Below are 26,912 nucleotides of genomic sequence, written 5' to 3' on the forward strand. Positions count from 1 at the left end.
TCTTTAGAATTTTTATATATTATGGATACCAGACCCCTATCAAATATATTATTTGAAAATTTTTCCTCCCATTCATTGGGTTGTCTTTCTGCTTCCCTTAGAGTGTCCTTTGCTGCACAAAAGTTTTAACTTTGATGAAGTTCAATTTATCAATTTTTTGTTGTTCCTGATTGTGTTCTTAGGGCCATATCTAAAAAATGATTGTCAAACCCAATGTAAAAAATTTATTCCTAGCCAGGCACAGTGGCTCACGTCTGCAGTCCCAGCACTTTGGGAGGCCAAGGTAGGAGGATCACTTGTGCCCAGGAGTTCAAGACAACCCCGGGCAACGTGGCAAAACACCATCACTACAAAAAAAGTACAAAAACTAGCCAGGTGTGGTGATACACACCTGTAGTCCCAGATACTTGGGAGGCTAAGGTGGAATGATCACCTAAGCCCAGGAGGTTGAGGCTGTAGTGAGCTAAGATTGTGCCACTGCACTCCAGCCTAGGTGACAGAGTAAGACCCTGTCTCAAAAAAGATTTATCCCTATGTTTTCCTCTCAGAGTTTCATAGTTTTAGCTCTTATATTTAGGTCTTTGATCTATTTTGAATTAATTTTTATATATGGTGTTGGGTAGGGGTCTATTTCACTCTTGCACATGGATACACAGTTGTTGTACCAGCACCATTTGTTGAAAAGACTCGTTTGTTCATCGAAATGTCTTGCCACTCTTGTCAAAAATCAATGGAGCATAGATGTATGGGGTTTTCAATTCTATTTCATGGATCTATATGTCTGTTCTTATGTCAGTATCACACTGTGTTGATTAGCTTTGTAATGAGTTTTGAAATTGAGGAAGTGTGAGTTCTCCAACTTCCTTTTTATTTATAAGCCTATTTGTGAAAGGTTGGTAGTAATGTTCTCACTTTCATTTCTGATTTAGTAATTTGAGTCCTTTTTTTCTTGGTCAGGCTATCTAAAGGTCTGTCAATTTTGTTAATTTCAAAGAACCAATTTTGTTTTGTTCTACTGTTTTTCTATTCTCTATTTTGTTTATCTCTCTTCTTTCTTTCCTTCTGCTATCTTTGGTTTAAGTTTGCACTTATTTATCAAGAGTTCCTTAAAATATATAGTTAGGTTATTGATCTATTTAATGTAAGTGTTTTCAGCTATAAGTTTCTCCCTAAGCACTGCTTTAGCTACATTCATACATTGTGGTAGATTTTCATTTTCATTCATCTCAAAGTATTTTCTAATTTCCTTTGTAATTTTTTCTTTAATCTTTTAATTTTTTAAAAATGTGTCATTTGATTTCCACATTCTCGTGTTTTTTAGTTTTTCAAGTTTTCTTCTCTTACTGACTTCTGTTTTCATTCTGTTTTGATCAGAGAAGATACTTTTTTTTTTTGAAATAAGGTCTCACTTCATCACCCAGGCTGGAGTGCAGTGGCACAATCTTGGTTCACTGCAGCCTCAACCTCCCAGACTCAAATGATCCTCCTACCTCAGTTTCCTGGGTTGCTAGGTCTACAGGTTCATGCCACCATGCTCGGCTGAATTTTTGTATCTTTTGGAGACAGGGTTTTGCCATGTTGCCCAGGCTGGTCTCAAACTCCTGGGCTCAAGATCCTCCTGCCTGGGCCTCTCAAGGTGCTGGAATTACAGGTGTGTGCCACTGTGCCCGGCCCCAGGAGGTACTTTATATTACTTTAACCTTTAAAACTCATTTAGGCTTGTTTTGTGCTCTAACATCATGGTCTATCCTAGAGAATGTTTCATGTACACTTGAGAAGAATTTGTATGCAGGAGGTGTTCGGTGAAGTGTTCTGTATAGATGTTAAGTAAGGTATAACTGGTTTATGGTTTAGTTCAGATCCTCTATTTCCTTTTGACCTTCTTTCTTATCTATTGTTTCACTCACTATTGAAAGAGGGGAGTTGAAGTCCACTAAGAGCTATCAAAGTGGATTGCTTTTACAATTTGTATTTTTCAAATGTGATTGTTGTGATACCTCCTCCTTTTTCTTATTAAATCATGACCTGTCCTTAAAGCCCACATTGTCCAGAGAGAAGGCAGTTACAAGTCATTGTTGACAAGGCAATACAAAGTGACAGAGACACTAGGAAAGTGGTAAAAGATAAGATCAAAGTTGGTAAGAGAGGCAGTAAATGACTTCGGGGCAAGGATTGTTACCATTAACGGAGGGATTAGGAATATGATGGTTAACAACTGTCATATTCTAAAGAATATTGCATGTTTCTAAGGAAATAAGGGATTCCTGAGGGTACAACTTACTTGGTGTAAAATGGATTAGGGCATGGCTTGCAGATTCATGCCACAGATGTCAGGCAGGTTACATCAATGAGGCAAAGGGGAAAAAGACTGATCATTAGTTGGCTCCAGTGAGGACTGAGAGATTGGTATGTTGGTTTGGAGCATTTAATTTAGTGCATCTGAACATCAAGTAAGAGAGAAGTAAACCATAATTAGGTATGCTGAAGGTATGTACAAGGTTGTCATCATCTCAATCCTTTTGGCTCATTAAATATTTTTTTTTTAAAGAGCATAGCCTCTTCACCCTTGCCATTTGAGGGATTGAATTGTTAGGCATGTATGCATTGGAGACATCTGGTGAATAAGGAACTAAATGAGGATAGGAAGGCTTCATTAGTTAGCGATGACATTACCTATCCTGAACCTGTCACTCAGTCCCAGCATATCTGATTAGTCAAATTTATTTTGGCAGATGTCTTTTGCCAAGAAATCAGGCCAACCAGTTTCCTAGTTTAAGTATCAATGGGTCAGTCAGCTGATGTGTAAGCTAGTTATACAGTTCTGTCAGTGCTCCTTAGAATACTGGAAGATCACTAAAATAGCCAGTTGGCCAGGCAGGCTGTTGGTACTTGAAGACTGTGCAATCTGACAAGAAAACAAATTTCTCTCCCATTATAAAAGGCTACCCTAGTACAAGGACAGAAGATACTATTTCTTCTGGGGTTCTGGGAAGACATTTAATATGACAAGGTATCAGAGAAGACAAACATAGAGGCAGGAAGTCACATGAAGGTGTTATACCCCTTCTTTCAGGGTAACATGTCTCTCCAAGGGCAAAGATATCTGAATGTAACAAAAAACTTCTCTTTTGAACTGTGAGAAGGATTATTTGGAGAGTAAAAATGAGGGGAACTATTGTTAAGTTGGATTAAAGTGATGATCCCCAGATTTTCTTTGCATGCCCATCTGGTTGATCTTGGAAATAGGATTTTACATTATTGTTTTGCAAAATTGCTTAGACTGGTACTTACAAAGTATTTGTGTGGAAGCAAAGCAGAAAAAAAAAAAAGGTTATACTCTACAATACTAATAAACTGATTAAATGTGTAGACATAACTTTGAACTGGGAATCTCAATTTATTGAAAATACATGTTTTGGTTGACAAAGATCTGAAGAACAGTTCTGTACACTTCTGAAGATTAAGAACAAGTTTTAAAAATTTATAAAATACCCGTGAATAGGGAACTTATAGCAATATTTTACCTATTTATAATAATCACCCAAAAGATAACTTGGAACATCAAAAGGAAAAATGCTCAGATTTCAGTTTGATAACTGTACCTTCAGCAAGTATTTCTGAGTGCCTAATACGAAGAGGGACTGCTTCATGTGTTTGAGATACACTGTGAATAAAACAGACAAAAATTCCTGCCTTGTTTTCTATCTTTATTAGCTTGAAGGCCCTTAGTGGGTGGGCAGACAGAAAATCAGCTCCTCCAGAGTCTCTAGATGAGGCATCCATCTGCTAGAGTAAAAGACCATGAGTTGCTAAGGAGATCAACCAGGCAAGGAGAGGGAGCATACATGACTAGAGCACAGACCATGGTCTCCAGTTGGTGATGTATTGTATGGAAAGGTATCCTGTGGGCCGCCCTCTGCTAAGGGACAGCAGGTGAAGCCTGAGTCCCCAGTCATGGGGCTTTGCCACCTGGCCTCCCAATGACTCAGGCCACCTCGGTGAATCAGTTCCACCCTACAGGGTTCCTGATCCTTAATACCAAACCCAGTCATAATCCTCAAATATCCTATTTAAAAGGGGCAGGAAGAGAGATGATTCTAAATATTTTCTTTCAGAAAGTGTCTTGAGTAAAAAAAGTTTAAAGACAGACTTGCTTTATATTAGGAAGTATTACAAAAACAGAGTAAACAGTGATGTTTTGATTCTCAGGGACTAACTGGTCCTAACAGGTACTAACTGGGCTTGTGTACCATTAATCTTCCTGTCATATCTGCTTCTCTCCAGGGGTAACCTTATGCTCTCCTATTGTCAATGCATTTTCTTGGTAAGGCTGCTGGCAGTTCTACAGTTACAATGTAACTGGCCTATGATATTCTATTTCTTAAGTCCTAAGATGTATTCTTTTTCCAAACTTGATTCAATTATCCTTCTGTGAAAAATTCAGTAGCAGGCCAGAAAGATGGGTATTATGGTTCCTATACATGCCAGTCCTATTCACAAAATGATGTTACTAAAATATCAGAATGTTTAATCAGTCATATGCACTATCTTTACAAATGACAATTTAGTATATATTTAAAATCAGTGGGAAAAAGGTGAATTAATCAATGGCATATGAAGTACTGGCTATTTATCCAGAAGGAAAAAAGTTTTGTAAATTCTTATATCCAATGACATCAATGGAAGCGTCAGATAAAGAGACCTTTATTTTGTACAGTACATGGTACTGTAAAAGTACCATGTACTTTTACCATGTCACCCAGTGTCACATGGGTGATTTTTTGCCATACCAGTAAAATGATGGATCCAGGTAGCAACCGTCACAATCTGGATGGAGAAAGCTGTCGGCAGCTTGATTCCAGTCAGTCTTATCAGAAAATAGTCTCTTATTATGGGCATCTACTTGAGCAACCCAGATGGTTGTACTAAGCAGCTGTGACTTTTACCCCCACTGTACAAAGAAAGGGTGCTTTTTAATCTGTAATTTCCAATTAGAATATCAAATATCTAGGCCACATCCAGAGCCAAGGCTTAACAAAAATGTAACATGGTTTATGAAATGGAGTATTGGCCAGAGCTGAGAACATCCTCGTGCTCTTTCCACTGAGAGGAGTGACCGCTTCACTTTGGGTTTGTTAATGGCACTGAGTTTGAACACACACAGGATCCTAGTAGTTTCAGTTGGCGAAAGCATCAGTGAGCCAGGCCCAATTACAGTAACCTCTATGAATTGAGGGCTCTACTAAGCCAGCAACTTTGCTTCGTTCTGGAAAGAGGTGATACATTATTTCCCTTCTAAGAGACAGCTACTACTATTGCCTATACAGCTGACATACTGTGGGGCCAGGACAGGTGCTTTCCTGAATGCCCCATTTTCATTCCACAAGTGAGGCTTGCTGGGTCCTTTTCATTTTGTTAGTTGTTGAGTCCAAGACGACAAACTCCTAAAGTGGAATTTTAGGTCAGAACCCTCTACCCAAGGAAGAGATATCCAATGTGTAAAAGAGCCCAAGAGTAAACTAACAGCTGCTTTTCAGAAGGGGTGGACCTGGTACCCTTGTCAGGGAACCAAGTCAATCCCCTGGCCCCCAGCTCCCAAGGGCTGCCCCCTTTTGCCAGAAGTTTCAACCCACAAAATCACCAGTCACAGAGAGAGACTTGAAGCCCAAAATGATCAGAGCTGTTGGACCTCAGAGGTATCTTTACATACAATTATTCCTGATTAGAATTCTATGACTTATGCGAATTACAGGGAATTAGAATTCTCTCTATAACTTATGGGAATTAATCCCTACTACACTTTCAGATGTAAACATAACTGTAGTATACTCTACTGGCCCAAAGTACCTCACCCATAAAGTTATTAAATTTGTTTGCCTTCCCATTGCCAAACCCCATTAGCTAAATCTAGGTGTCCTGTACCCCCACAGGAACTAGTAAGATGTTGCCTTGGGCATGGATTCAATAAAGCCATATAAATCTGAGTCCCTCCCCTCTCTGGAGGTTTCCCATAATACTTGGGTGGGTGCCAATGGCCTTTGGAGCCAGGGAAAACTCCTTAAAGCAGATATAGCTGGGGTATATGGAGGTGTCAGGAGGTGTGGGGGCAGTACCTCTGTGCAATTAAGGCACACTTACGTTGAACTGCACAGTGGCTGCTCACCATTCAGCCAAAAGACTTTTAGGTTCATGCAAAGCCCTGTATCAGGTGGTACTATCAATTTCATTACATTGAAAGGATGTCTTTTCCACAATTCTCTGATCATATTTGAGGTTCTCCTTGACTCTCTAGCCTCCTAATAAGGTTTGTGCCCTCTGATTGACTTAAGCCTGGCTTACACAGAAGCTTTCTGCCTTCCTAGCAGAAGATAACTAAATTATGTGTAGAAACAAATAGACTCAAACATGTGAAAGCTCAACAGAATACAGTAGTCCCTGCTTAACTACAAGGAATGCTCTCCAAGAATTCCAAGTTGATGTTTGAAACCACGGGTATACTGAACCCTGTATATACTATATTTTTTTCCTACATATACACATGCCTATGATAGTTTAATCTCTTGCTGTGCCTAATTTATAAATTAAGGACTAATAATGGAATAATTACAACAACATGCCAGAAATGCTCTTGCAATTTCAGGCCATTATTTAGTAAAACAAGGGTTACTTGAATACAAGCACTGTCATACCCTGACAGGTGATCTGATAACTAAAATGTCAAGTAAGTGACTAACTGGCAGATAGTGTATACACTGTGGATATGCTAGACTAAGGAATGATTCAATAACCCTCATGGGAGAGCAGGAGGGCATGAGACTTCATCCCACTACTCAGAATCGGGTGCAGTTTAAAATGTAGGAATTGTTTATTTCTGGATCCATTTAATAACTTTAAAGTACAGTTGACCATGGTTAATGGAAATTGCGTAAAGTGAAAATACAGATAAGGGGGGACTACTGTATAAGCTTAAATTTTGCTCACATAATGTTCAACTGGGAAAGACACAGAAGAGGAGAATTTTGCTGCGTGTATTCATTCAGGCACAGACTTCTTTATCTTGTACCATGCCACATTAAAGCACGGCACCAAGCTTGTCCTAGAAATGATATCCATTTTGTTGTGACAGGGCCCTGGTAATTTATTAGGGAAGTCTCTTATGTTTCAGACTGGGATGTGATATACATCATGGACATCCACATCTTAGTAGCCAGTCACAAAGACCAACCTGGATGAAAAGGAGATTGGGAAATCTGGACTATGTGCCTGGAGTAAAATGAAATTGGTGCTGGTGAAGAGATTACCAGCCTGTGTGATGTGTGGGAGCTATCTAATAGGGTATGACTTCATTCAGGCCTATCCATAGTACTCTGAAAACAGAAGCCTGTCTGAATTCTTTGATACACTCTGAAGGTTGCATTTTGGACACAATTCTTCCTGCATTCATCTTCATCTGGTTTCTTTCCTATGTGAATTCTCTGATTCACAGTGAGGGTTTACTTCTGGGACTGTCTTCTTACATTCACTACCCTCAATTGGTTTTTTGTGTATCTCTGATATCAAATGGGGTATTCCTTTTGTCAAAAGGATTTTCTAGTTATTACATCAATAGGGATTCCCCTCTCCCTGAATTTTCTGGTATAAGCTTAGGGTAGACTTCTTACATAATTTCCCATATTCATTGCATTCATAAGATTTCTCCCCACTGTGAGTCCTTTGATGTATTCTGAGGTTTGATTTCTGGCCAAAAGTTTTCCCACATTTATTACACTGAAAGGGTTTCTCCCCTGTGTGAATTCTCTGATGATCACTAAGGATTGCTTTCCGGACAAATTTCTTCCCACATTCATTACATTTAAATGGTTTCTCCCCAGTGTGAATTCTTTGATGCACTCTGAGGGTTGATGTCCGGGCAAAAGTTTTCCCACATTCGTTACATTTGAATGGTTTCTCTCCCGTGTGAGTTTTCTGATGTTGAATGAGATGATCTTTTCGCCAGAAGGATTTTTCACATTCATTACACTGGTAAGTTTTCTCCCCAGTGTGAGTTCTCTGATGTATTCTGAGGTTTGACTTCTGGCCAAATGTTTTTCCACATTGATTGCATTGAAAGGATTTCTCCCCTGTGTGAATTCTGTGATGATCTCTGAGGGTGGACTTCTGAACAAAAGTTTTCCCACATTCACTACATTCATAGGGTTTTTCTCCTGTGTGAATTCTTTGATGTCCCCTGAGGGTTGACTTCTGGACAAATGTTTTTCCACATTCATTACATTTATAGGGTTTTTCTGCTGTATGAATTCTCTGATGAGTACTGAGGTGTGACTTCTGGGAGAAAGTTTTTCCACATTCACTACATTCAAATGGTTTCTCTCCTGTGTGAGTTCTCTGATGTTGAATGAGATGTCCTTTCTGACAGAAGGATTTCCCACATTCATTACATTTATAGGGTTTCATCATTGAGTGACTTCTTCGGCGAACTCTGTGAACCGACGTCTGGTAGGATTTCTTATTTTCATGATATTCAGAGGATTTAACCCAAGTCTGTGTTCTGTCATTACTTACCAATGGGTTCTCTTCTATGACAGCTGTTTGAGGATCAGTGAGGTGTGCCTTTCTGTTGAAATTATTTCCACTTGGATTTAATTCATAATGTTTTATACCCATATTAAGTTTATTATATTCCTCCACAGTTGACTTCTCAAAGGATTTCCCACATTGATTAAGATGCAGGTGTTTCTTCCCTGTGCCAGTTCTCCTGTGGTCAAAGAGAGTTTTCTTATCACAATTTTTCCTAAATTCATCATCTTTAGAGGATGTTTCTCCTGTGTGAGAACTGTTATGTTTAACACAGTTAGCCTTATCATTAAAGGCTTTTCCAATTTTATTACATTCAAAAGCTTGCTCCAAAGTTTGAAACTTTGGATGCTTGGGAAGATTTTCATTATAATTGAGAGCTTTCATGTTTTTATTATGTTCATAAAATTTCTCTCCAGTCTGAGTTTTCTCAAAGTTAATTTTGAAAGGTGAATTCTCACATACATTACCGCAACCTATTTTCTTTGTTGAATAGTTTCTATTATTAATGATAAATTCAGAAATACTTTGCAAATTCACTTCCCATGAGTTGCATTTGCAGGACATTTTTGTTGAAGCAACAGCAGCTACATGCAGAGTAAATGGTTTCCCCAAAACTTTCTCTTCCTCTGTAGTCAATGTTTTATTATTGATACATATTGCTTGCTCCAAGTGTTTGTCTTTGATTTTCTTGTTCTGCTTGATCAGGTCATCACCTCTGTAATCTTCTAAAACAGAAATATTGAAAACATCTTATGACTCTTACATCTTCTGTGGGTAGAGCTTTATCAACATACAGCCTATGTTGCACCTAATTATTTGATTTATCAAGATTAAATAATTCAGATGTATGTGTGTGTAAATATATATATCTCAGACCACCCTCCTTTAAAAAATAATATTGATATAGTGCAAATGGGAGAGGAAGCTGGTAATGAATACATATTTTGCATGTGATTAGTAAGATTTTCCTAACTGGATAGATAGAGGAAAGAAAATAAAATAAAACTAAGCGTTTTATAGGGGTAGTTATTTTAGGGAGCAGGAAAAACAGAGAATGGGATAAATACAACAAAAACTCTAAATGTAAGTAGTATAACAAGGAAAATCAGGAGATAACAGGAATTTTGGAATAGACTCAACAGGGAGGGGGTTTAGAAGCTGAAAGTAAATTACAGTCTAGGTCTTGACATTATCTAGATTATAATGGTTAGAATAGTCTATTGTCTACATTCTTACAATTTGATATCCCTCATCAATTCAACATCAAATTAAATTTATAACAGCACCAACTCCTTTATGATTAAATGAAAAAGTTTATAGCTCTAACCTGTCTTATGGTTGTGATTCATAGAAATACAAGCAAGTATAAAATTGTTGAAAATAAAATCCATTCATGCAACTAACTTAGATGCACTGCTCCATTCTGGCTGTCATAGCATTGATTTATTCCATCAGAACTAAGTGCTAAGTGAACCTGATCATCCCATCCTGAGTTTCCACATTTCAATCTGACATGAGGGGTACAATTTTAAATAGGGTATCACAGAAAGTTCTACTGTGAAAATGACATTTAAGAGAGGTCTGGATTCTTTATGCATTCTAAATGCCTATCCTTGACAGGTCATATTGCAAATATCATCTGCCACTTCTCGCTTACCTCTTAACATTTTATTAAGCATGAAACAATATATATCTGCATAAAACTTTCATGTGCAACTTAATACTATTAAGTGAACACTCATGGAATCAGAAACCATGTCATGAAACACAAATGGCTCTGCAAAAATCCCTGTTTACCTATGCTTGGTTACAACTTCTCTATGCTTAGAATTCACACAACTTCTCTATGCTTAGAATTCACCAGTCTCCTAATATTTATGTAATAATTTCCTTGATTTTCTTCATAGTTTTATCAACAATATATGAATTCCTAAAATGTCATTGAATTTTGCCTGCTTCTGACCTTTACATAAATATAGCCATATATGCATATTTTTTCTTTTGGTTAATATTATGTTTGTAATCAGTGTACAAGATTTTATGTGGCTGTATAATTTTTCCTTAAAGAATACAACTGTTTCTCCATTCTACTGTTGATGAGCACTATTTTTGCCAAACATAAACAATACTTCCATTAATATTCTTTTATGTATTCCAGAGAACATAATCATATCTTTTTGTCAGTCATACAGTTAGAAAAGGAATTACTTGGCTACAACATATGCAAAAGTTTACCTTGATTAGAAAACATCCTGGTGGGATGCAAAGGCATAAAAATGATACAATGGACTTTGGAGACTTAGGGTGGGAAGGGGGACTGGGAAAAAAGACTACAAATTGGGTGCAGTGTATACTGCTTGGGTGATGGGTGCATCAGAATCTCACAAATCACCACTAAAGAACTTACTCGTGTAACCAAATACCACCTGTTCCCCCAAAACCTGTGGAAATTAAAAAAAAAAAAAAAAAAAAAGAGGCCAGGCACAGTGGCTCATGCCTGTAATCCCAGCACTTTGGGAGCCTGAGGTGGGCAGATCACAAGGTCAGGAGATCAAGACCATCCTGGCTAACATGGTGAAACCCTGTCTCTACTAAAAATACAAAAAATTGGCTGGGTGTGGTGGCAGGTGCCTGTACTGCCAGCTACTCTGGAGGCTGAGGCAGGAGAATGGCGTAAACCTGGGAGGTGGAGCTTGCAGTGAGCCAAGATTGCACCACTGCACTCCAGCCTGAGTGACAGAGGGAGACTCCGTCTCAAAAAAAAAAAAAAAGAAAAGAAAAAGAAAACATCCTCCTGATACCACAGTGGTTTTACCAGTTTATATTTCCAATCAATCAGTGGATAAGGGTGTCTAACATTCCATATCCTCACCAAGACTTGGCATTGCCATATTTGTAAACTCACTTCATATCTGTTATTTCACCTCATATCTCACTTCATATATTATTTTGTGCTCCATGAAAACTAATGAGATTGAACACATTTTCAAAGATTTACTGGGCATACATATTAAAAAGTTCTTGTTCAATGTTTTTGCCCATTTTTCATCTGGGTTGCCTATCTTTTCCCACAATGACTCGCAGAAGTTCTTTACATTTTCAGGAAGCATATCCTTTCTAAGTTATTTGCACTACATACATATTATGCTGGTTGGTGGCTTGTCTTTTCACCTTTTGAATAATATATTAACAAATTTCTTACTTTTAATGGAATCAACTTTATTAATTATTTTCTTTTAACTGCTGCTTTTTGTGCCTTTAGGCTTTCTAAGAAAAGTCTTGCAATATTTAGGTGTTCACCCCTAAAGTGACCTGGAGTCTAACCACTCCTGCAGAATTATGTCTACTACTGCTCAGTAACTCACTTGGGTGACTCTGGTTTGAGAATTCCTCCTCTGAGAACCAAGGCTCCTCTCCTTGCTCCAACTTGAAGATCACCTCTGGTTTGAAACAGCAGTACCCTGTTAATAAAACACAATCGAGGACTTAGACCAGATATATGAGATTTTAGTCTCCAAAAGTGGAAGAAAATACAGCTTTGGAAGCAGTATCCTGAAAGTGCTCCTTTGCATTTATCACTGGGAGTTGACAACACATTCTTTCTAGTCCTCGACAGGGCATAGTTACTTTGGAATCCTGAATGAAAAGCCTAAATAATTTAAACTTTAAGTAAATTGTTCACATGTATTGGCACTTAAAAAAGAAATACCTTCTATATGGAGTTACAAGGGTAAGTTATGTTTACATGCTTACCCACTGAGACGAGGTTGCTGTAGTTCTCCAGCATCACATCTCTGTACAGATTCTTCTGAACAGGGGCCATTTGCTGCCACTCCTCCTGGGTGAATTCTATAGTCACGTCCTTGAATGACACTGATGCCTGTAACAGTACATTTCTATTCAATCTGAAGGGTTCAGAATTAGATGATGTAGAAAATAGCCATGAAAACAATTCTTATCAGGTTTAACTCTAAAAAGCTTAAACGAATGTAAAGGATGCCTATTTTGAATCTAATTTAATCTTAGACTTTGAAGGTATTAAATTGGTAAAAGTTTTTATAGGAGAGGTGCAGTGGCTCATGCCTGTAATCCCAGCACTTTGGGAGGCCAAGGTGGGAGGACTGCTTGAGCCCAGGAGTTCAAGACCAGACTGGGCAACACAGCAAGGCCCTGTCTCTACAAAAAATTTAAAAAATTAGCCAGGTATGGTGGTATGTGCCTGTAGTCCCAGCTACTTGGGAGGCTGAGGCAGAAGGATTGCTTGAGCCCAGGTGGTTGAGGCTGCAATGAGCCATGATCACACCACTGTATACCAGCCTTGGTGACAGAGCAAGACCTTGTCTCAAAGAAAATGTTTATAAATGATCTATATATATTTATGAGTTATATACATATACTATAAATAGATACATTACTAAAACTTTTTTTTTATTCTTATTTTTGTAGCCAAAAAATGTAAATAAACTTCCTACAATTTGTATTCCATCCCAACAGACTACCCTGGGCATACATCATGGCAGGAGTCAGCAAATTATGGCCTTTGGGCCAAATCTGGCTTGCCAGTTTTTTGTGTATGTGTGGTAAAGACAGTGTCTTGCTATGTTGCCTAGGCTAATCTTGAACTCCTGGCCTCAAGTGATCCTCCCACCTTGGCCTCCAAAAGCTCTGGGATTATAAGTGTGAGTCACTGTACCTGGCCACTTACCGCTTTTTAAATAAAGTCAGTTGGCACACAGGCACACCCAATCATGTTGCATTGTTTATGGCTGTTTTTGTGCTGAAATAGCACTGAGAAGTTCCATCAGAGACCTTATGATTGTCAAAACTGAAAATATTTATTACTTGCCTTTATAGAAAAAAATGTACCATTCTCTGGACTAAATAATAGTATTAAAGAAAAGATAAAGTATAATACAACAACAAAGGAAACATTATATATATAGGGATTATGGAGATTGAAAGTAAAAGGATGGAAAAAGATATACCATATAATCAAAACCAAAAGATAGTTGATATGACTGCATTACTATCATATACAGTAGACTTTAAGGTAAGAAAGAGGTATAAAAAATGAGTAACGGGCCGGGTGCGGTGGCTCATGCCTGTAATCCTAGCACTTTGGGAGGCCGAGGCAGGCGGATCACGAGGTCAGGAGTTTGAGACCAGCCTGACCAACGTGGTGAAACCCCATCTCTATTAAAAATACAAAAATTAGCCGGGTGTGGTGGTGAGTGCCTGTAATCCTAGCTACTCAGGAGGCTGAGGCAGGAGAATCGTTTGGACCTGGGAGGCGGAGGTTGCAGTGAGCTGAGATCGCGCCACTGCACTCCAGCCTGGGTGACAGAGTGAGATTCTTGTATAAAAAACAACAACAACAACAACAACAAAAAACTGAGTAACGATTTGTAATGACAAAACAGTCCTTTCAATAGAAGATACAACAAATCAAAATTGCTATGCACCTGGCAAACATAGCGTCCAATTAGCATTTCTTATTATTCACGGATTACGTATTTGTAAATTCACACACTAAAATTATTTGCAACCTCAAAATCAACACTTGCAGTTATTTTGCAGTCATTTGTGGACATGTACAGGAAGGTAAAAAATTTGAATTGCCTGACCTACATGTTCCCAGATGAGGCTCAACAAGGTGATCTGCTTTCTTGTTTCAGCTCTGATACTGTAAATAAGTGTCCACTTCTCAGTCTATTTAGTGCCATATTTACTGCATTTTTGTGCTTTTTCTTGATGATTTCACTTTTTCTTTTTTTTTTTTGAGACAGAGTCTTGCTCTGTTGCCAGGCTGGAGTGCAGTGATGTGATCTCGGCTCACTGCAACCCCCGCCTCCCAGGTTCAAGCAATTATCCTGCCTCAGCCTCCTGAGTAGTTGGGACTACAGGCACGTGCCACCACGCCCAGCTAATTTTTGTATTTTTAGTAGAGATGGGGTTTCACCATGTTGGCCATGATGGTCTCCATCTCCTGACCTCGTGATCCACCCACCTCGGCCTCCCAAAGTGCTGGGATTACAGACGTGAGCCACTGCGCCTGGCCGATGATTTCACTTTTTAAATGGCCTATATGTATAACAGTTATGTGCTGTCTAGTGTGCCTATGTGCAAGAAGCCTGTGGTATGGCTCATGGAGAAAATATCTATGTTAGATAAGATTCATTCAGGCATTAGTTATGGTGTTGTTGGCCATTAGTTCAATCATTATAAACCAACAATATTAAATAAGGTGTCTTTATGCAGAAAGACACACAAAAAGATTATGTACTGACTGGCTGACAAAAATGTGACTAGAGGCTTAACCCCATATTTCTCCTCTGAGTAATGGTTCAGTATTTATTAGTTCAGTGTTTGTAGTGACTTTTTGGAACATTACTACTGAGAATTATGAGAACTGACTGTATATAAACAAAAGTTGATAGAAATGAGATATCAATCTACAATTTTAATTAGTGATTTTAATGTAACTCTCCCAGTAACTCATAGAAAAGCAGATTAAGAAAAACCAACAGGGATATAGAACAGGAGTCAGTGAACTACAGCACAAAGGTCAAATCCAGCTCACCACTACTATTTTTTTTTTTTTGTAAATGAAAAATACCACCACTACCAATTTTTTTTTTTTGTAAATAAAGTTTTCTTGGAACACAGCCACATTCATTTGTTTATGTATTATCTATGGCTGCTTAACACTACAGCTGCAGAGTTTGGTAGATGCAACAGAGACTGTATCTCTCACAAAGGCTACTATCTGACATTTACAGAAAGTTTTCTGACCACTGATATAGAAGATTGAAAAGACATAATTAACCAACCTGACTGACATATATAGGATAACCTCTGCATAACATAACTCTCTGGTTTCCTTTGCACATTAAAAAAAAAGGACAGTCTATCTCACTAAATTACAAAAAATTACAATCATACAGCGTAGCTTTAGATCTTAGCTTAGAGATGTAGAGAGCTGATAAAAGCAACGCTAACATCCTTACAAGAACATAGCTGGGAAAACAGAAAATTAGTATCTTTTTTTCAAACTATTAGGAGAGAGAGAGACGAGACAGGCACCTGCAGGGAGAATCAGGATGTGCTCATTTGCTTACTGGAGCAGATGCTACTCAACTCCATCTAATACAATTAGGAAGATAAAACTAGAAAAATTTAACCTGCTAAAGGCAAATGTGTACTAGTTTGAGTGTGTGAAGTCCCTGGGGGCCATACACATAGGTGGATTTTCACCTCGCTACAGGATCAAAGGGAAAATCAAAAGAGAAATGAGGCTGGGCATGGTGGTTCACGCCTATAATTCCAGCACTTTGGGAGGCTGAGGCAGGCGAATCACTTGAGGTCAGGAGTTCGAGACCAGCCTAGCCAACATGGTGAAACCCTGTCTCTACTAAAAATAGAAAAATTAGCCAGGTGTGGTGGTGCGTGCCCATAATCCCAGCTACTCGGGTGTCTGAGGCAGGAGAATTGCTTGAACCCGGGAGGTGGAGGTTGCAGTGAGCTGATATCGTGCCACTACACTCCAGCCTGGGTGATAGAGCGAGACTCTGTCTCAAAAAAACAAAACAAAACAAAACAAAACAAACCCCTGAGACCCAGAAATTAGAAAATACATTGAGATTACTCACAATGAATACACAAAATACCAAAATGCATGAGATGCAGCTAAGGCAGTGCTAAGTGTGAAATTTATAGCTGTAACACCTATATTAAAAATGATCCCAAATCAGTATCCTAATTGTATACTTTAAGGAACTAAATGAGGTGGGGACCTTACTACTAACCTTACAAAATAAAAAAGACTATAATAAAGAATACAGTGAACTGTATAGCAACAAATTACATAACCAAGATGAAGTGGACAAATTCCTAGAAACACACAAACCACCAAAATGGACTCAAAAAGAAACAGAACATCCGAACAGACTGATATAAGACTGAATCAGTAATCCAAATCCTCCCAACAAAGAAAGGCTCAAGACCAACTGTCAGTCTGTCTTTAAATGTTTGGTGAATTCTACCAAACATTTAAAGAAAAACTAACACCAATCCTTCTCTAATTCTTCCAAAAATAGAAGATGAGTGAACATTTCCTAACTCATTCTATGAGTTACCTTGAACCAAAGCCAGATAAAAAAATCACCCAAAAACTATGATATGTATCCCTTCTGAATATGTGTGCAGAAGTTTTCAACAAAATACTCGCAAACCAAATCTTGCAACAAATAAAAAGTACTATATACCATGACCAAGTACAATTTATTTCCAGGAATGCAAGGTGGCTCACCATAAGAAAATAAATCAGTGTAATATATCACAATAATAAAATGAAGAAAACAAGTCACACGATCATCTCAACTGATGCAGAAAAAGCATTTGACAAAAATATCCTTTCATGATAAAAACAAACATTTAACATGGTAGGACTAGAATAGAACTGCTGCAACACAATAAAAAGCATTTCTGAAAAACCACAGCTAACAGAATACGCTAGGCTAAAAAACAAGAAGGTTTCTTCCAAATATCAGGAATAAGACAGGGATGCCTGCTTTCATCATTTCTATTCATTATACTGGAAGTTCTAGCTAGAGGAAATAGGTAAGACAAAAATGCATCCAAATTGGAAAGAAAAAAGTAAAACTATCTCTATTCTCAGAGACCATGAGATTTAATACATGGAAAAGACTAAGGAAGCCACAAAAAACTATTAGAGCCAATAAATGAATTCATCAAAATTGTAGGATACAAGATGAACACACAAGAATCATTTATCTCTCTAAATACTAGCAATGAATAATAAAAAAGAAAACAATTCCACTTACAATAGAACAAAAAATAATAAAATAGGAATAAATTTAACCAAGAAGGTACATGACTTATACGTGAACACTAGAAAACACTGCTAGAAGAAATCAGAGGACCCAAATAAATGGAAAGACACCTTGTGTTCATGAATTGGAAGATTTAAAATTGTTAAGATGACAATACTCCCAAAAGTGATATACAGATTCAGTGAAATCTATATCAAAATCCTAATGACCTTTCTGCAGAAATGTTGAACCTACAATTTATATGAAATTGCAAGGGACCCTGAATAGTCAAAACAATCTAGAAAAAAAAGAAAAAAAATTGGAGGGATTACATTTCCTGATTTAAAAACTTATTATAAAGCAACAGTAATCAAGAGAGTGTGGTACTGGCATAAATACAGACATACAGATCCACAGAATAGCACTGAGAGCCCAGAAATAAACCCATACATTGGCCATTTATTAGGAAAAAAATAGTTTTCAACAGATGATGCTGGGATAACTGAATCTCATCAAAATAATGAAGCTGGACTCCTACCTTATACTGTATTTTAAAATTGCCTCAAAACAGCCAGGTGTGGTGCCTCACACCTGTAATCCCAGCACTTTAGGAGGCTGAGGCAGACAGATCACTTGAGATCAGGAGTTCATGACCAGCCTGGTCAACATGGTGAAACTCCGTCTCTACTGAAAAAATATAAAAATTACCCGGGCATTGTGGTGCATGCCTGTAATTCCAGCTACTCGGAAGGCTGAGGTGGGAGAATCACTTGAACCCAGGAGAAGGACGTTGCAGTGAGCCAAGATCGTGCCACTGGATTCCAGCCTGGGCAACAGACAAAGATTCCGTCTCCAAAAAAAAAAAAAATTGGCCTTAAAAGGGATCAAAGACCTAAATATAAGAGTTTAACTGCATGACTCTTAGATGAAATCAGGAGTAAACCTTTATGACCTTGGATTTGGCAATGACTTCCTGGATATGATACCAAAGAAAAAAAAATTGGACTTCATCACAATTAAACTTTTGTGCAAAGGATACCATCAAGATAGTGAAAAGAACCTACAGAATAGGAGAAAATATTCACAAATACTACATTTAATAAATGTCTAGTAGCCAGAATACATAAAGAACTCTTATAACTGAACAACAAAAAATGTAATCCAAAATGGGCAAAGGACTTGGATAGACATTTCTCCAAAGATGATAAACAAATAGCCAATAAGCGCATGAAAAGATGTTGAATGTCATTAATCAAGGAAATGCAAATCAAAGTTAAATGATACCACTTCACACCCACTAGGATGTCCATAATTTTAAAAAAAGGGAAAATAACAAGTGGTTTTAATGATGTGGAGAAAGTGGAACCCTAATACACTGCTGGTGGGAATGTAAAATGGTGCAGCCACTGTGGAAAACAGTTTGGCAGTTACCAAAAAAGATAAGTCAAGAGTTACCATATGAGTCAGAAGTTCCTTTTCTAGGATTAGTCCCAAGAGAAAACAGGTGTCCAAACAAAAACTTGTACATGAATGTTAATAGCAGCACTAGTCATAACAGTCAAAAGGGAGAAACAATCCAAATGCTCATCAGTTGAATGAATAAACAATGTGGTATATCCACACAATGGAATATTATTCAGTCACAAAAAGGAATGATGTACTGATACGTACAACATGGATGAACCTTGAAAACAGTATGCTAAGTAAAAAGGATAGTCACAAAGGGCCAGGTGTGGCGGCTCACACCTGTAATCGCAGAACTTTGGGAAGCTGAGGTGGGCGGATCATCTGAGGTCAGGCGCTCGAGACCAGCCTGGCCAACATGGTGACACCCTGTGTCTACTAAAAAAAAAAAAAAAAATAGAAAAATTAGCCAGGCATGACGGTGGGTGCCTGTAATCCCAGCTACTTGGGAGGCTGAGGCAGGAGAACTGCTTGAACCTGAGGGGGCGGATGTTGCAGTGAACTGAGATCGTGCCATTGCAATCCAGCCTGAGCGACAAGAGCAAAACTCTGTCTCAAAAAAAAAATATATATATATATAGAAATAGTCACAAAGATCACATATTATGTGACTTCACTTATTAGAAATGTCCAGAATAGCCAAACATATAGAAACAGAACACAGATTACTTGTTGTTTAGGGCTGAGATTGTGTATGTCAGGATGGGGGATGATAGCTAAATGATATGGAATTTCCTTTTGAAGTGATGAAAACATTCTAAAATTGATTGTGGCAATGACTGCACAACTCTACAAATATACTAAAAACCACAAAATTGTACACTTTAAAAGTGTGAATTATATGGTATGTGAATTGTATCTCCATAAAGCTGTTAAAAATAAAGGACACTAGAATAAGTAGCACGATTTGGATTTTCTATATCCTGTTAAAGAAACTGAGTTCATGAGCAAAAACCAGGCACAAGAAAAACTCCAATGCTAGACTACCTCACAGGTATATTTTTCCAAACATTTAAGGATGAAATAACAGCAATCTTAAACTCATTCAGAGAACACAAAATGAATAACTGTTTCCAAACTCATTTTTTGAGAATATAATGTTGACGCCAAAACGTGACATGACATGACAGAAAAACTGCAAGCCAGTATCTTTCCATTAATGTAGACACAAAAATATTAATTGAAATATTAACAAATTGAATCCAGAAATAACTTAAAGTGATAGCACTACCTTATGTGGGAATTATCCCAGGAATGCAAGGTTGGTTAAACATTGATAAATCTATCAATATAATTCAGCTCTTTAACAGACTAAAGGAATAAAATAATATGATTATCTCACTAGAAGCAAGAATAGCCATCTGACAAAATACTCATGCATGATTAAAAAAAAAAAAACTCAGGAAACTAAAAATAAAAAAGGGAACTTCCTTATTCTAATTAAGGACATATACAAAAAACATGTAGTTAAAATAAGACTCAATGGTGAAATACTGAGTACCCCTCAGGTGAGGTATAAGACAAGGATTTCTATTATCACCATTTGTACTAAACATTTTACTGGAAGTCCTAGCAGTAAGGCTAAAAAGAAATTAAAGATATAAAAACTGTAAAGGAAGAAGTAAAATTGTCTTTATTGCAAAAAAAATTTTGCACATTTAAAATCCAAAAGAATCCACAGATAAGCTATTAGAATGAGTGAATTTTGTAAAATGCCTAGGTATAAGATCAATACTAAAAAAATCCATCGTATTTTAATAAACTAACAATAAACTGGAAAATGACATTTAAAATGCAGTATCATTTGTGCTATTATCAAAATAGATCAAATACCTAGGAATAAATATAATAAAAGATGTGAAAGACTTCACCTCTACTCTGAAAAACTTTCCATCAGGATTTTCTGTGAAAATTGATAAAACTTCCATGAACATGAAAAGGACCTAAAATAGTAAATAAATTCACAAAATTTGTGACTTACTATAAAGCAACAGTAATTATGACAGTGAAGTACTAGCAAAAAGATAAACTAATTGGACCAAAGGAAGAAAATATACAGTCTACATTAGACCCGCATACAAGTCACTTGACTGACAAAAAACAGCTGCAATTCAGTTGACAGAAGATGGTCTTTCTAACAAATGGTGCTAGAGCAACTGGATATCCGTATGGAAATATGAACCTTGACACTCACCTTATACCAAACACAAAAGCTAACTCTATGTAGATCAAGCTAAAATAAACAAGTATGTAGTAACAATATAGGAGAATATCTGATCTTAAGAGTAGGGAAAGAGCTTTCAAATATGATACACAAGGAACTGCCATTAAAGAAAAGACGATCTGACCTTTATTAAATGTAAAAACTTTGTTGTCAAATATATTATTTAAAAAATGAATAAGCAAGCCATGGAATCCAAGAACATCAGTAATGCACACATGGCAAAAAACATTTACTGAAAATATTGAAATAATTCCTACTTAAAAAAAGCAAATAACCCAATTAAAACAGAGTTGAATAGGTACTTTATATATTACATAAAAAGAAATGATGTCTAAATGTCCAAAACACAAACAATGGTGCCCAACATTAGTATTTACCATAGAAAAGCAAATTATAAATTTTGATAAGATACCACACTATACAGCCACCAAAATGGCTAAAAACAAAAAGATTGATAATAACAAGTGTTGCTCAGAATCTGGTACAGCCAGAATGCTAGTGGGAATGTAAACTGATTTGACCACTTAGGCAAGCTACTTGCAGTATGTATTAAAACTGAACATATGTTTATTCTATGAACCAGCAATTCCATTTCTAAGTATATCCCAAAAGCAATGAGGACATACCCAAAGACACAAAAGAATATTCACAGCAGCCTTATTCCTGATAGCCTCAAACAGGAAAAACAAATGAAAAAATGCACTAAGAGGAGAATGAGGAAATAAATTATGGTCTATTCATACAATGAAATACAGCCCAGTGATAAAAGGGAAATATTAAGATACAGAGCAAAACATTCCCTTGAAAACTGTAAAAGAATACACTTTGTATGATTCTACTGGTATCATATTCAAAAATGAATTTATCTTTTTTCCCTAACATATGAGGTCAGAATTGTGGTTGCCCTGTAGAGGGGAGCAGTGGTGTTATCTTAATCTGGGTACTAAATTACATGAATTTACATATGTAAAAATCCATCCAGTTACACACTTCAGAGTACACTTTACTGGTATTAAAACTGCATCTCAGTTAAAGAACTAAGTTTTTAAAAGGAAAAAAGAGTGCATACAAGAGAAACAAAAATTTAGCAAAATATATATAGTTGGTAATTTGGGAAGGTGGGAACATATTTATTATATTATTTCTTTGTATCTTTCTATATTTGAACAATTTCTCAATTCCTTACAGGAAAAGAAAATTTGGACATAGACTCATACAGAGGAAAGATGATGTGAGGACAGACATCTAAGCCACGGAGCAAGGCCCTTCCCTCACAGCTCTCAGAAGGAACCAAACCTGTTGACATCTGTTTTTTTTTTTTTGAGATGGAGTCTAGCTCTGTCGCCCAGGCTGGAGTGCAGTAGCACGATCTCAGCTCACTGCAGCCTCCGCCTCCCAGGTTCAAGCAATTCTCCTGCCTCAGCCTCCCGAGTAGCTGGGATTACAGGCACCCGCCACCACGCCCGGCTAATTTTTATATTTTTAGTAGAGACAGGGTTTCACCACGTTGGCCAGGCTGGTCTCGAACTCCTGACTTCAAGTGATCTGCTCTCCTTGGCCTCCCAAAGTGCTGGGATCACAGGCGTGAGCCACTGCACCCGGCCCCTGTTGACATCTTGATCTCAGACTTCACCCGGCCCCCGATGACATCTTGATCTCAGACTTCTGGTCTCCAGAATGGTGGGAAAATAAATTGCTGTTTAATCTACCCAGTCTGTGGTTCTTTATTATAGCAGCCCTAGCAAACTAATACTAAGGCTCTAACCTTTATCTCCCTCCCCTCTCTTATTATTCCCTAAGAGGAAGTCCAAACTGCAATAGGCAAAGATTCTTAATGGACCTTGCATGCCTTGTTTAGCCTGCTCTCAAAATGCAGTAATCTCCTGTACTGCAACAATGAAAACCTTACCCATTTTTCAGGACAAAATCCTTTTAAACTCTCCACCTCTGATCAACAGAGCCTACACCATCGATCTCTCCTTTCTTTGACAGTCTGTCTACCTGAACGTCTGTTTCCATTACCTGAAAAACTGTATTAATAATAAAACTGAAAAACTGTATTAATAAAAGCCTGAGTTTGGCACTAAGCCGTCTACTTCCACTGAGGAAAAAGCAGAAGCAACATACTGCATTTATTTCAAGGCTGTTATGAGAAAGATTTGCACTGACACATGAAGACCAACAAAGACATTTTCCCTGACTTTGATAACTTTAGATTCCATGAGGAATCAGCCTGGTTTTAAGCTTCTCATCAATGCAAATCTGTAAAAAAAATACTGTCTGTCTGGCTCTCTGCCATGGCTATCAGAAAGAATGAAAACTGCAGTTCCATTTTGGAAAATCTGTAACATCAGGCGACCTCCATCTTTCCACATGCCAATTCTGCTGTGCTACTGCCCTGCTTTTCTATATATTCCTTGAATGATTTTGATCCATTTCTACATTTCCATATTAATATGTGGACCCTTAAACACCTATGAAATCCATGATGAAAAAGGTATTAGTAATTAACTCACCTGAGATATGTTCATTTTCTGCTGCTCCTGAAAGAGTGTGGAGAACCGTAAAGGATAACCTGGGGGTGAGGAAGGAGTCATGAGAGATCTGGGCAGCCTCCATCTTACCTGCCTACCAATGTCATCACACCAGCTGGGGAAAAAGGCCTCTCTACAAAAAATGTTCCTTTGACCTTTGAGAAGGGACAAGCAGCACTACAGAGAAAGCACCTCCTGAATATGTGCATCTTTAATATGATCATGTGGATGAACCCTTGCTGTGTGTGTGTGTTTTTTTGTTTTTTTTTTTTGAGACAGGATCTGGCTCTGTTGCCCAGGCTGGAGTGCAGCGGTGTGATCTCAGTTCACTGCAACTTCTGCCTCCTGGGTTCATGCAATTCTCCCGTCTCAGCCTCCTGAGTTGCTGGGACCAAAGGCACCCACCACTACACCCAGCTAATTTTTGTATTTTTTGTAGAAATGGGGTTTCACCATGTAGCTTAGGCTGGTCTCGAACTCCTGACCTCAAGCAATCTGCCCGCCTTGGCCTCCCAAAATGCTGGGATTGCAGGGGTGAGCCACCAGGCCTGGCCCCTTGCTGTTTTTCATCAGGCGATTGTAGACTATTTTCCTATTGATTTATTTAAAATGTATGTCTTCTTTGACTAACAACTTAAACAGAATTAACATTAATATTCTGTTAATATTATTTACACCAATAGAAAACACAAAACTGAAAAAAAGGAGATGCTGAAAGACTATTTTAAAATATTTTTGTTCTAACTTATAGTTTCTCAAAAGACTTTCGATAAGACACTTCTGGTGACTCACCTGTGACAGAGTGAACAGCACTGTGCTTTGCTCCAAGCTCTGTCCTGAGTGACCATGGACAAACTGTTCATCCTAGGTTCAATACTTTTTAAGGTTTTAAGAGTCAGAAATAGAAATCCTTTCCTGTATTATCATTTTTGTGATTCTACAGGTTCAGGATAGAGGCAACCTTAGTAAATTTCTAGATGCTACATGTGATGGATGTTGTGTGAGAGTGACTCAGAATCTGGAAAGAGTGAGGCAAGAATGAAGAAAATGGGGGCTCTATGAGGAGGATTAGAGACAATTTCCTCAGCCCTGGCTGGTTATGCCTTCCTTGGAGACCATGGAGAAAAGCCCTCCAGTAATGTGGCTTTTCCTGTGCAGTCTGACAGTCACCCACGCCTCTCAACCCCAGCTTACCACCTTCTGCAAGTTGGCCCACAGTGTTCAGTGTCACACAATCTGTGATGGCTTCTGGATGTGGCGACATCACCAAGTCTGGTGCTCTCTGGGCAAGGGGATGAAGAAGTGCCGCTGGTTGGGCAAATCAAGACCTGCTCCTTTCTGGGTTCTTCTGCATCTGTTTGGAAGCCCTGGTGAGGAGGTCTCTGTTCTGTCAGAGAGCAGTTCTTCGGTGGGACTCCTGTTCCTGGGGCTCCCTCCTTCCTGCAACATAAAGAGCTGCTTTGCTCCAGAGAAGCTGGGGCTGATGCCTGGGTAACAAATTTATTTTAGTTGAAACTTTCATGGAAAACAGTGTTCTTCACGTCAGCACAACTTCCATTTTGGGCTGGATAATCCTCTGACATAAGGAGTGGTCCTGTGCATTGCAGGATGTTTAAGAGCATTTCTAAACATGCACTAGACACTAGGACACCCCTTCTCCCTGTTGTGACAATCAGAAACGTCTCCAGGCCGGGCGTGGTGGCTCACGCCTGTAATCCCAGGACTGTGGGAGGCCAAGGCAGGTGGATCACCTGAGGTCAGGAGTTCAAGATAAGCCTGGCCAATATGGTGAAACCCCACCTCTACTAAAAATACAAAAAATTAGCTGGGCATGGCCATGCATGCTTGTAATTCCAGCTGAGATTACAAGCTGGGAGGCTGGGGCAGGAGAATCAGTTGAACCTGGGAGGTGGAGGTTGCAGTGAGCCAAGATCACACCACTGCCCTCCAGCCTGGGCGACAGAGAGAAACTCAGTCCCCTCTCCCCCCACCAAAAAAGTCTCCAACATTTCCAAAGTTCCCTAGGGAGCAAAATCCTCCTGGTGAAGAAGTGACCTAAGGCCTTAAACCTGATTCTCTTGGCATTAATTAGAACCCTGCTATCCATGACTACAGCCTCCAATCACATCAACTACTGAGCACTGGAAATGTGGCTAGGACCACATGTTGAAATAACATTTTGGATACACTGAGAAAACCACAGTATGTTCTTAAAATTAATTTCATGTTTTAGATTTTCATGTAGCTACTAGTTTAACATTTAAAATTACGTATGTGACTCATCTTCACTGCCCTAGAATATCAGACTGACTTCTAAAGACAGAGACAGGAGGGACAGCACAGGAGGTGGCAGGGGCCTCAGTCTAACCCAGAGGCTCTGGAGACATCCCAGAAACCCCACAACAAATACACTTGCCACATAGTAAGATTCTGTCCACACTGACTTCACAATCATTGTCCTGGGGTTTTGGGGACAATCACTCAGTGCTGTGAAGGCTGCAATGCTGGGTTAGGTAGGTAGGCCATTACAAACAGCCTGATTCGGGGAGTAAAGTGTTTATGTATTGACATCCTAGCTCTCTCATCCTTTGTGAGCTTGGCTCTATCTTTTCACTCCTCCTTCTTCATTTTTAATGATATAAATAGGGTGGTTGTGAGAATTAAACGAAATACTACATGAAAAGAACAAAGTGTCTTCCAAATATAACGGGAATCAACATTTACATGCTGCTTAGTAACTAGCGCTTAGCTAAATGCTTTACAGGGGATGGCTTACCTCTGAACGACACAAAGCAGTTTTTACTAATATCCTCATTTTCAAACGCTCAAGTGACAGAGCCAAAATTCACGAGGTCCTTCTAGCTCCTAGGCTCGGCCTCTCACCGCAGACCCACGGGCTGTACGCGCTTTGTGGCAGGTTCATGGTCAATACAATAAACGCGCATTCCCCTCCTGAAGCCAGCACCGCGTTTTCCGACGCCTGGCTGCATTCTGGCGCCCATACCTCGGCCCGCACCGAGCATCTTCCAACTAGGACTCAGCCCCACCTAACGCCCCCGGAGCCCGCCCCCACCGGCCCTTCTCAGGCTGAGGTCCCGGGCCGGCCGAGGCACAGGGAGCGACGGCCTGCTTTGGGGGAGTTCCCGGGACGTCGCGTTCCCGCCCCCTGGACACTAGCACATCCCTCCCTGCAGGTCCGCAATCCGCGTGGAGGCCCGGCGCTCTCACCTGAGCTGCGAACCCTCTGCACCAGCAAACACTAACAGGGAGAAGCCGGAAAGT

The 26,912-nt window shown here is 38.7% G+C and overlaps 1 protein-coding gene across 7 annotated transcripts, besides 1 other annotated feature; it reads right to left on the reverse strand.

The window, feature by feature from the left end:
• Window positions 1-3,377: 3,377 nt before the first annotated feature.
• On the reverse strand, window positions 3,378-26,912 carry ZNF510 (zinc finger protein 510). 7 transcript variants are annotated; one of them, XM_017014483.2, is made up of 7 exons: window positions 26,859-26,912; window positions 26,407-26,536; window positions 24,825-25,070; window positions 23,613-23,671; window positions 12,331-12,457; window positions 11,943-12,038; window positions 3,378-9,302 (listed from the first exon to the last, which is right to left on the reverse strand). In XM_017014483.2, exons 3-7 carry the CDS (start codon window positions 24,892-24,894, stop codon window positions 7,603-7,605), a joined length of 2,052 nt encoding a protein of 683 aa, XP_016869972.1. In that variant the 5' UTR covers window positions 24,895-25,070; window positions 26,407-26,536; window positions 26,859-26,912; the 3' UTR covers window positions 3,378-7,602. The 7 variants fall into 7 exon arrangements, with proteins under 7 accessions (XP_016869972.1, XP_005251865.1, NP_055745.1 ...); XM_005251808.3 differs by lacking the exon at window positions 26,407-26,536 and having other exon boundaries at window positions 3,378-9,299; NM_014930.3 differs by lacking the exon at window positions 26,407-26,536.
• Window positions 26,673-26,772: a silencer, noted in NCBI's record as "silent region_20091". NCBI's record gives its function as "represses an Ori minimal core promoter by ATAC-STARR-seq in GM12878 lymphoblastoid cells {active_cell/tissue: GM12878}" and the evidence as "EXISTENCE:reporter gene assay evidence [ECO:0000049][PMID:35858748]".

Source organism: Homo sapiens, chromosome 9 (assembly GCF_000001405.40).
Source record: "Homo sapiens chromosome 9, GRCh38.p14 Primary Assembly".
In the NCBI taxonomy this organism is placed as follows: domain Eukaryota; kingdom Metazoa; phylum Chordata; class Mammalia; order Primates; family Hominidae; genus Homo; species Homo sapiens.

Coding starts and splice junctions, on each gene's coding strand:
- ZNF510 (NM_014930.3), bottom strand. CDS start 24,894: ATGTCGCCACATCCAGAAGCCATCACAGATTGTGTGACACTGAACACT. Junction 12,039..12,330: donor CAGCAACCTCGTCTCAGTGG/GTAAGCATGTAA, acceptor TTTTATTAACAG/GGTACTGCTGTTTCAAACCA. Junction 9,303..11,942: donor CTCAAACCAGAGTCACCCAA/GTGAGTTACTGA, acceptor TTTCTGTTTTAG/AAGATTACAGAGGTGATGAC.